This window comes from Homo sapiens, chromosome X (genome assembly GCF_000001405.40).
Source record: "Homo sapiens chromosome X, GRCh38.p14 Primary Assembly".
Taxonomy (NCBI): Eukaryota; Metazoa; Chordata; class Mammalia; order Primates; family Hominidae; genus Homo; species Homo sapiens.
In genome coordinates, this window is record NC_000023.11 from 135,420,030 (window position 1) to 135,431,025 (window position 10,996).

General features: G+C 51.3%; 1 protein-coding gene and 1 pseudogene across 1 annotated transcript, besides 1 other annotated feature; one reads left to right on the plus strand and one right to left on the minus strand.

Annotated features, from left to right (window-relative positions):
- Positions 1,915-8,046, plus strand: SMIM10L2A (small integral membrane protein 10 like 2A). Its single transcript, NM_203306.3, has 2 exons — positions 1,915-2,701; positions 3,604-8,046. Exon 1 carries the CDS (start codon positions 2,103-2,105, stop codon positions 2,337-2,339), a length of 237 nt encoding a protein of 78 aa, NP_976051.1. The 5' UTR covers positions 1,915-2,102; the 3' UTR covers positions 2,340-2,701; positions 3,604-8,046.
- Positions 1,976-2,205: a silencer, noted in NCBI's record as "silent region_21020". NCBI's record gives its function as "represses an Ori minimal core promoter by ATAC-STARR-seq in GM12878 lymphoblastoid cells {active_cell/tissue: GM12878}" and the evidence as "EXISTENCE:reporter gene assay evidence [ECO:0000049][PMID:35858748]".
- Positions 8,139-8,256, minus strand: RNA5SP515 (RNA, 5S ribosomal pseudogene 515; annotated as a pseudogene).

Below are 10,996 nucleotides of genomic sequence, written 5' to 3' on the forward strand. Positions count from 1 at the left end.
TATGTGCCTTAAGTCTATATTTCTATGGCCCTTTCTTTTTCAAATATTACTAATTTTTTTCATTGTATTATACAAGGAATATGTACAGACATACATTTGGACATACAGACATATAGAGCGAAGTAAAAAGTTTAAGTCTCCCTATTGTCTTAACCAGAACAATATAGAGCAATTTGATATATCTGCCCTGGCTTTTTCTTTTTTGTAGTAGAGGCAGTCTCACTCCATCGTACAGTGGCAGGATCATAGCTTACAGTAACATTGAACTCCTGGGCTCAAGCGATCCTCCCACTTCAGCCTCCTGTGTAGCTGGGACTACAGGCATATGCTACCACACCCCACTAATATATTTTATTTTTTTTTGTAGAGACGAGGACCTTGGTAAACAGGCCCAGCCTTAAGTGATCCTCCCATCTTGGCTTCCCAAAATGCCGAGATTGCACGCCTATAATCCCAGCAATTTGGGAGGCCGAGGTAAGCGGATAACCTGAGATCAGGAGTTCCAGATCAGCTTGGCCAACATGGTGAACCCTATCTCTATTAAAAATACTAAAAATACAAAAATTAGCCAGGCGTGGTGTCGCGTGCCTGTAGTCCCAGCTACTTAGGAGGCTGAGGCAAGAGAATCGCTTGAACCTGGGAGGCAGAGACAGCAGTGAGCTGAGATCATCAGCGTGGAAGACAGAGTGAGACTTAGTCTCAAAAAAAAAAAAAAAGAAAAGAAAAAAAAAGAAAAAAAAGAATAGAAAAGAGAAAAAGAAAGAAAAGAAAAACCACGCCCAGCCTCCTGCCCTGGCATTTTTTTTTTTGATGCATGTATACCCATGCATGGATGTGTTGCGTTGTTGATAAAATCGTGATGTCCACACAATAACCAGAATCCAGTGATTCTGGAACTGGATTTTTTTTTTCTTGATCATGTAGGTAGGACAATTGCTCAATCAGTGTAAATGGATCCGCTGCGTTCCTCAGTTACGTGGGATACCATAGAGATGATCAGGCGTGACGGTGAACAGGTATTTTGAGAGTTCTTAAATACCCACGTCAACCTTTGTTGTGAAAACTGGGATGGGGTTGGGTGAACCTACTTCTTTCTTGCCGACAGTTTTTCAAAAGTCATGACCATAACGAAGTGAGAGCATTTCCCCACATCATTAAAACAGTCTGAAAAAACGCTACTGGGTTTTGACTGGTTTACGTTTAATAAAGATTGAATGAAACCACGAAAGGGCTTTTAAGCACACTGGCAACAAACAAACAAAAAGGCCATAAACAAGAGCAAATGAAAACCCAAGACGACCTTGTGCAACCACCATGGCAAACAATGGATTAAGAAGAGTGCTTAGAAAGGGAAGGACAATGGGGAAATTCGCCAATAAAGAGATATACGTGACCAGCAAATATACCAGAAAGGGAAAAATGCACGCATGTGGGCTTGATGGCACTCTGTAGCGCAGTTACTGCACCATGCGAATTAAAGAAAGATATAATGGCTTGGCTGGCCAGTTTTCAGGGGAGACCGTGGGAGAAGGGAGGTGATATGAACAGGCAGAGGCTTCTGCACGTGCTTTCTATACAGAATCAGCGTAGCGGCCCAGATTGTCCTCCTCCACTGCCGCTCCACCCTGGGAAATGGTCTCAAAGCGATCCCTGGCAGCTCCGCCCTTCAATCCACTCCAGCCTCCGGAGGCGCCCGGAAAGAGGCGGGGCTGTGTGGGCGGGACGGGGCAGTGGGCGGAGCTGAGCCTGCGGGGCACGTCGAGCAGGCGGGGTCGCAGCGCTGACGGCCTCTCTGCGGCTCCCGGTTGGGGGCGTGGCTAAGCCAGCGGCGGACCTATGCTGGCCTGGGGGGGTTCGGGGTGGGGGTTCGGGGGGGTGGCCCCCCGCAGTGAGGAGGTGTGGAGGGGGCGGCGTGTGCGGGATCGTGGAGGTGGGGCCGAGGCAGCGGCCGCCTGAGCCCCGCTCGGCCTTGGGAACACGGGGGCGGGGCGGCCGCGGCTCTGGGCGACCCGCTGGGTGCACTAGTGCTCGGGTCCCACCGCCCTGAGGCTCGCGCTCGAGCGGGTCAGTCGGTCGGCGGGGCCTGCGCGGGGCCCGGGCCCATGGCGGCGTCGGCGGCTCTGTCTGCAGCGGCGGCTGCGGCGGCCCTGTCTGGCCTGGCGGTGCGGCTGTCGCGCTCAGCTGCGGCCCGAGGCTCGTACGGCGCCTTCTGCAAGGGGCTCACGCGCACGCTGCTCACCTTCTTCGACCTGGCCTGGCGGCTGCGCATGAACTTCCCCTACTTCTACATCGTGGCCTCGGTGATGCTTAACGTCCGCCTGCAGGTGCGGATCGAGTGAGCGCCGGCGGCGGCGGCGGCGAAGGCCCGGCTGAAGGGGCGCCCGTGTCCCCGCCCGCCCCCGGCCGGGTCGCCGGCATGAAGGAAAGCTGGGCCGCGGCGGGGGGCGGAGGCGGGGCGGCTCGGACCCCTGGACTCTAGACCTACGCCGCCAGGGCACGACGGCCCAGCCCTGGCCCCGGCTGCGGTCTCAGCCCGGGGGCCCTGGATCGCGCAGAAACGCACTGAATGGGCCCCTGCCATCGGGCTCCAGAAACTACCTGGGCTCGGCCGACCTGTTGCCTCATATTGGCCAAAGAGGGGGAAACCAGAAGGAGGGAATTCTGCTGCGGCGACTTGACTTTCCAGGCCCGGAGCAGAAAGGTAGGAGGCGACAGGTTGGAATGGGAGAGGGGCGGTGGCTCTGCCCTTCAGATGTCAGGGCGTGTTGGCGGTCAGGGGGAAGTATGGAAGGCACCGGGGCAAACCAGCCAGAAGAGCTGTGGAGCCCAGGTGGGGAAAGGAAAGGCAGCCGCAGGCTCTCCCCTCCTCCCCAGTCATGATTGCAGGATAGGGTGAGGGGCGGCCCCCTCCCGCCCACGCCCCAGTGCCTGCCTCCCTTTCTGCAGAGGCCCCCAGGGTGTCCCCTGAACCCTGAGGAATGGAGGGTAATGGGCTGGGGGCGGCCCCGGAAGGCCCTAGAGGAGCAACGATGCCCCCACCCTTCTCTTCCCCACCAGTCGGTGGGCATAGGGAGGACGGTTCTCTTCTAGGTTGAGCCCCATATCTGTTCTCAGCCCTCAGCCCTGGGTCTCTCTGCAGCTCCTGCACAGCCCTTGGCAAAACTGCCTCCTGCCCTGTCTTTGGGGCCAGAGGACTGGTCTCTGCCTGCTCCTGCTGTCCCTTATGTTCCCCTACCCCTACATGAGGGCACCCCCCAAGCTCTGCATTTGGAGACAGGGAAGAGTGGGAGAGACGCATTCCTACCGTCCCCTCCCCTAGTCTTGCTCTTCTGCCATGTCAGCCCATGCTCCCTAAGGCCCCTAGCTAGCAAGGCCCTCCCAGGGCCAGAGTCCCATCCTCCAGCCCCAGACGGCCTCTAGAAGCCTACTGTGTACTGAAGTGATCTGGGAAAAGGAGACCTGCCTGAGCACACAGCAGCTCTCAGCCTGGGGTGGGCAGAGCAGATGGAGGAGGGGCTTGCAGAGGAGGCCATTCCCGGGGGAAGCAAGGACGTGTCTGGTGGCCAGGCAACTGAGGTCCCCATCTCTTTCTTTCTCTTTCAGGCATTGGCATTTGTAGGCGGTGACCCGCCCCTTCTCTGGCCTTGCCAAGAGTCACATCCCTGCCCAGGGGCACCTCTGGCCCTGGAACTTGCCTGGGCAGAGGCAGCGTGAAGGGCCTGAACAAGAGGAGAAGAAGGGCCTTCCTAGTAGAGGCACAGCATGGACAAAGGCTCACAGGGGTGGGGGTGCCCAGTGATCGAGTCCTGGCTTGGGAAGGAAGGTCTGAGTTCCCTGGGAACTGAAATCTGCTAGCAGCACTGTGAGAGAGGTGTATTTCCCCCTCCTAATGACAGAGGAAACTGAGGCTTCAGGGAGGGGTGGATTTGCCCTTGACATGCAGATAGGAGGAGGAGGAACTGCGTGTGCCCCTGGGCCTGCAGGCCCCCACACCCCTCCCCAGTCTTCTTCAAGACCTGGCATGGTGGGAGGAGGGAGGGGGAAGTGGAGAGGGGAGCATAGGGCTCCTGGGGCACCAAGGGAGAGAGGGGCCCAGGGGTAGGGAATCTAGGAATGTCGCTTTCCTTGGAGCAGTACGGAAAGTCACAGGGAAGATCAGGAGGACGGACAGCTGAGATGGGAGACAGGAGAGATGAGCCCCAGGACCCCTGGGGAGCCAAGCTGTCCCCCACATCCTAGCCTCTCACCCCACCTGGAGCTTCACCAAGGGCTCCTCAGCAGTGAAGTGGCACAAGCCTCCCAGTTTGGTGGGCAAGTGGGGGTGATCTTGGTGTTGTGGCTCCTGGAGACACGACATAACCAGGAGGGTGAAGGGATAAACCTGGGGTGGGCTGGGGCTGAGACCCATGGCATGACCCCAATTCTCTCTCCTCAAGCTCGACCCCCCATCCCCAGGATCACACAGGAGAATCTCATCCTCACGGCTTGGATTGCTCCTGGGGGCCCCCTGGTGTGCTGCTAACTGGTGTACAATGCTCAGGAGCAGCCCAGAGGGGAGCCGGGAAGGGACCCTCGCCCTTACCATCTATCCCCATTTCCGCATCTCTTGCACTGGTACCCCGGGCGCCACGTTCTCAGTTCCTGGGACTGAAAACTGCAGCAGTCTGGCCAGCTCCAGGGACAGAGTGGCCCAGCCACCTACTATGTACCCTCCTCAGCTGCCCACTGGACTCAGGTCCTGAATGAAGCTGTCCGCCTGCCTCATGCCAGAAGCGGCTGGACAGTGGCTGCCTCATGACCCTTGCAGTCTCCCACATCCAGGGCCTGATGACATGCCCCCTTGTCCCAAGTTTCTTGGGAACCCCTGACCCTGCTGGCCCCTCTCATCCACCCCAACCCTATCCACCCTGGACCACCTCTGGGGGTCTGTCAGCCTGCTGGTCCCCCCAACAGATCTTTGGGGGCAGCCTCTATGGGACAAGAGTGACACAGGGCTGGAGAAGAGGAGTGAGGAGCCTCCTTGTGTCTGATGCACAGATGTGGCCCTTTCAAACCCTGGTGTCACCCTCTGGGTGACTGGATCCCCAGCTCCAGCCTCTTCCTGGGCCAGCCAGGAAGGCTGGAGGAAAGCTCTTTGCTGAGTGCATGCATGGGAGTGTGGGGGGTGACTGAGCCCTCCCCATGCAAGGGGCTTGGCCTGGGACCCTGGAAGCTGTTTCCCTACTGGGATAAAGTTGCGTCAGCCGCAGGGGTCTCTGCCCTCAAAGACCCCCCACTGCAGGGAGCCCCACCCCATAAGAGGGTCACGGAAGTCCATGTCCGCCCACCCCCAGTGGCTTCTGGTGTGGCCGTATTGGCCTAGAGGGGCTGACTGGGGAGGGTCAGGGCCAAGCCCTCAGCATCTGCTCCTGTCCCTGCTTTTTCACCCCTGCTGCCTGAAGTGGTAGCCCCGCCTGCTGCTTCTCCACCTCCCCTCCCCACCTCTTCTCTCCCAGATGGGGCCCTTGCTGCGTGACGGGGTCTCCATGCGCTTTATTTATTTGCAGTCTGTTTTCTAGGCGGTGGAGCTAGACACTGACCGGAATGACATACTTTTCTGTGTGTGATTCACTGTGTACTGGTCAGCACAGGCTGGCCAGAGAGCTGTTCTTGTTTCTGGTGTTGTCACGTCTTCTTGTTTTCTCTAAGTTTAAAAAAAAGTCCTTGGTTTAATACACTAAAATCCCAACTGGAGGCCTCCCGTGTCTGGTGGGGGTGATGCAGTGGCCCCGGGTGGAGAGGCCCCATGGTGAGGTCACCAGCTCCCATGGCCAGGAGTTGGCAGGGAGAAGCCTCTGAGGGCTAGGGCTGGGGGAGGCTGTGGCAGGGACCGTGTTTCCTGTTCAGAGGCTGTGCTGAGAACCGACTTGACCTGGACCACTGCCCCATGAGAAGCAGGCAGCATCCTAGCCTGGCCCCGAGAGGTAGCTGCTTGTTCTGTTGACAACCTTTGTTCAACGACCCAAAACATAAGTCCCTTTCCTTTTTAGAGTCTGGCGATCAAAAGTGTCTTAAGTCAGTAGAATCCTGAGGGTGGACTAGGGTGAAGTGAACTGAAACAGACTCGACACAGGTCATTTTGTGTAGCACTGAGACTCCTCTCCCTGCCTGAGGCCACCTCCCACTGCCTCCCTACCAGCAAGGTTACTGCAGAATCTTGGAGAAGATAAAGGACCTGGCCCTGGAAGCCTGCTTCCCTTTCCCAACCTTGGAAGCAAATTCTGTCCCATCAGAGCCCCCCTCCCTAGTGGCTCCCACCAGAGACCTCCCTAGTGGCTGCTGTAAGGGTTGGCAAGCAGGCAAAAGGCGGGGGAGGGAGGGCAGAGGGTAGTGTTAGAGGAAGCCCCATAGGGCCCCTGGGTGGGGGTGGGGAGGCATCCTGAGGACACAGGGCTATGCTCAGACTTAGGAGTGAAGACTGGGTTTAGGGGCCCTGGGGGCACTCCTGTTGCCAAGGGCTACCCAGGGGTCAGAGCATCCTGACAAGGAGGACCCGTCCAAACGCACTGGTGCTAATGCCCTATGGCATCTGCCACCACAGGAGAAATGGACCCCAGTCCTTGATCTTCCCTCCCCTTTGTCTAGATGGTCCTCTTTATCCCCACTCCAGGGATCACATGACTTGGCAAAGCAAGATGGGAAATGATCCTCCCAGAGCCTGGCTCCAAGGCTTCTTGAAGAGGGAGGATCACCCCTCCCATCCCTGCTACAGAGGAAAAGGCAGGAAGGCCGGTTCTGCTCCGATGGGACTCCAGGAGACCAAAGCCCTGAGCCCTGAGCCCAGCTCTTCCACTTACTACTGTGTGGTGCCAGGCAAGCTGTGCACAACCTGGAGTTTTTAGTAAGGTTCCGTTGGGATGCTTGTAAGCAGTGAATACGATGATGTCTGTTCATTGTTTGTCATCAGGTCTCACCTGGAGCAGCCTTGTTACTGTGGGGAAAAGGAACCAAGTGAAGGGAATCGGCCTCTGATGAGAGCCTGCCATGTGCCAGGCACCATACTAGGTGCTTTGCATTCCTAATCTCATCATTATCACACAACCACCTAACCATTATCCCTGTTTTACAGAGAAACCAAAGACAGGAACCAAGTCTGAAACAGAGCCCCAAGAAGAAGCTCTTTTCCTGAGCTACCAGTGCCCCTTGGAGAGGCAGGGAATTGGGCTGGAAGAATGGTGGAATGGAATAGCAAAGATGGAAGATGACCCTGTCCTTTCTGGGTGAGGTCCAGAAGAAATCCAGGGCTTGGATGAGGGGTAGACCTGAGAGCCTTCTCCAAATGGAACTCCCCAGTGGGAGCAGCTGTGGCCACCCTGAGATGGGTCTACCTGTCTTCCTTCCATTCCACCTCCAGAGATTGATTGGGACCTAAGAGACTGAGTCAGGAGAGGGCAAGAAAGCAGCTAAGTGGGAAGTTTCAGGGGCACTAGAGCAAATACATTGAGAAATGGGAAATACAAACAGCATGCAAAATCACATCCTACTCCTACCCACCCCACTCCCAAGGGAAATTGCTGGGTTTTGGACGAATTTTCACTTTGTGTGCACCTTTTATGTATGTAAAACTACAAACATACTACTTTGAAATCTGATTCCGCTATTTCATGTTTGTCTTACCATGTTATTATGTATTTTCCTACATCCAAAGCTACCTAGTATCTCTTTTGTATGAAGGTTTCATCATGTATCCCCCAGTGCCCTTTGGTTGTTTTTCTTTGTTGTCATTTATTTTGGTGGGGGTTGGTTTGCTTTTTGTTGTTGTTTTTCCTTGTTTTTATAAATGATACAGTGACAGATGCCGTTGTGGATAAATGCTGTGGCATAGTCATCAATTCCTTGATATATATTCCTAGAAAGTGCACCAAAGGGTATGCATGGCTTAGGGCTTTTGATACTCTCCAGAGTTGGGATACCAAGTCACACTACTCACTGGAGTCAGGATGAGAGTTTTTTGAGACAATGGTGGCAATTCTGATTCAATAGATTAAAAAATTTATTACTACCTTTCATTGCCTCAAGCAGGGTGCATTTCCCTTCCTTCAAGATCAATATAATATTTAACGCATCACTTCTCTAAAATGTTTCCTTAAAAAAAAAAAAGCCTATAGCACCTGGTATTCCTGGCAGTCTCCCCTCCAAGTACTAACCAGGCCCAACCCTGCTTAGCTTCCAAGATCAGATGAGATTGGGCACATTCATGGTGATATGGCTATAGATGCATGTTTCCTTCTTGATCATCTCTACTTTAAGGCTAGAGCTAACTCTGTTTCCTAGGAGAGAGAACTTGATCCTTTCCTTCTACTCCACTTTACCTATCCCTGAGTCTCACAACGGGTTTGTCAATCTCACTATTTGATAGGTTAAAATAGTTTATTTTGATATGTTATTTTGTATTCCTTTGAATACATAATCAGGATTAAATATTTTCATAGGCCTATTGCTTAGTTGTACTTCTGTTTTTAACTATAGGGAGTAATTTTTTAAAAAAAGGAAATGAGATATGCCTTTTATCATTCAGTGATGGGCAGCAACTTCAGGTGAGGATGTCAGTTTGAACTAACCTGAAAGAACACCACCCTAATCCATTGCTTCCCCACCTTCTTTTCCAAACACACCATAACAATGGACAACATATTTAAAAAATATTTTTAAAATAGTAGCCATTCTCAAAAGTATAACAGGAAACCTCTAAGACCCAGAAGCAGAAGGAATGCAGAGCAGTAAATGGGACCTGAAGCTTCACAGCCCTTGGAGGCTAGCAAGGGAAACAGGTCTGAGAAGCCAGGAAAGAGAGCTAAACTGTAGGCAGGTACTGACGGAGCTAGAACTAGGTGTTCTGTATGGATCTAGGAGGTAGGAAAATGTTTTCATCATGAATGAAAACCAGAATATCTTGACCTATCCACCTTGGGTCTCTCCTGAAAGTGAGTCCCCTGCTTAAACCATGGTTTGAAACGAAGTGAAACATCTAGACTCTCAATCCCTAATTCTGCACTGTGCTCAGTGCAGGGTCGGGATTTGTACCAATATGGAAAAAACAAAAACAAAAACAAAAACTCAAGTGGTGAGTAGGATATGTACATACACAAAATATACCCCTGGGCCCCTTCAGTTAAACTAAACAACACTGAAGACAAAGGAAATATCCTAAAAGTCACTAGAGAGGAATGACACATTATCCATAAAAAGAAAAACAAACATAATCCACAACAATGGGTGCCAGAAGACGATGCATCAGTAAGGGTTCAGTTGCAGAAAACAGAACTCACTGTAGCTATTTTAAACAGAAGTTCAATTGAACTATGGACCAGATGCTTACAAAATTATTTTGAGGCTGAAAGAAATGTAGGTTGGGGCTCTAAAAAACACTCCTAGGGTACCACAACAGAACTGGCTCATTAAGGTAGGTAACACTTGTACTCAATTCAGATGGAAGGAAATTGGGAGCCCAACACTGAAGCTGTTAACTTCAAGAACACATCCCTGTAGCTGTGATTCAGAGATCAGAAATCTGCTGTCATATCACAACCACCTTTTGACACCATGAAGCTAGTTACTACACAAAGGAACACCGAAGCAGGAAAACATAAAGTCTGCATGACTGTATTCACAAGCAGAAAGACCCAAAGAAGCAGGAAGGTGGCTGCTGCTTCCCATGCATCATTTCAATCTCACCCAAGAGTACCTAACTGGTGGGATATCATTCATATTCAGAACCTCCTACTACAGGGTAATCTGAGAAATATAGATTTGGACTTTTCTGACTGTGAAGTCCAGGAAGGTACGTTAGGGGACTAGGATGGATACTTAGTCTCTATTTTCCATATGTGTCACAATTAATGTCTTCAAAGCATGACAAGATATCTGTAAGCCTAGAACTTATGAAAAAATGTGAAAGAGCACCTTCAGACACATAGAAGAACTTGGACATTTCACTATCCATCAACTGTCTCTGAAACAATTACTGAAAAAATCTATGTTAGCAATAAGAACGAGAAATCCACAAGGAAGGAATGGAAGTCAAGAAATAACAGCAAGTAAATAGTAATTAAAAGGGGTTTAAAAATCTCAACATACATTGATGGTTAAGCACACAAGGAAGGAGAAAAAAATAACATATTTATTGAGAACTTACTTTGTGTCAGGTACTGCTCTAAGCACATTACATATACTAAATAATGTAATACCATGACCCTAAAACAGAAACTTACATTATCGCTGTTTATAAACATGAGGAAACTTGGGCTCAGAGCGGTAAAGAAACTTGCCCAAGGTCACACACCTGGTGGAGCAAAGATTTGTGACCAGATAGTTTTTCTCCTGAGTCTGTACTCTCAGTCTGTACTCACACTTATGAAAAGAAGGATGGGTAGAAGGAAATGTATGGAGAAGGGAAGGAGAAAAGTTTTATGTGCACTCATAACAAGCTTATACTAAAATTCAAAACAATAACATGAGAATTGTGGAGATAGAGTGCTGAGGGAAGATAACATGGGTAAGGCTTTTGTTTTGTCAGGAAGAGAATTGAGCTGCTGAATAATTCGAAAAAATATAATTTTTAGTGTGCATGTTTAAAATTTAAGGTTAGGAAGATTCTGGGAAGGTGGTGGAGTAGGAATCAGTCTCCCCACTGAGACAAAAATTGCACTGACAGACCCTGATATAGCTGTTTTTGAACTCTTGAGTATATTGAAGACTTGCAATTTCCATGGGAAAGTTTGGAGGTAAAGTGTGTTCTTAGTCCACTAGCAACTATCTATCCAGCAGCCCCAGCCCTGTGGCAAGCACAGTGCTAGGGACACAGCACTGTGTCCCTAGCACTGTGGAACAGTTTCCACACAGCTTACACGAGCAAGGGTGGGCAAAAAGGAACTTGCCCTCCCAAAATTGCAGATCTGTACTCAGATAGCTGATTGCTGCTCCTGATCACAGACTTGCAGACAAAGAGGTGGGTGAC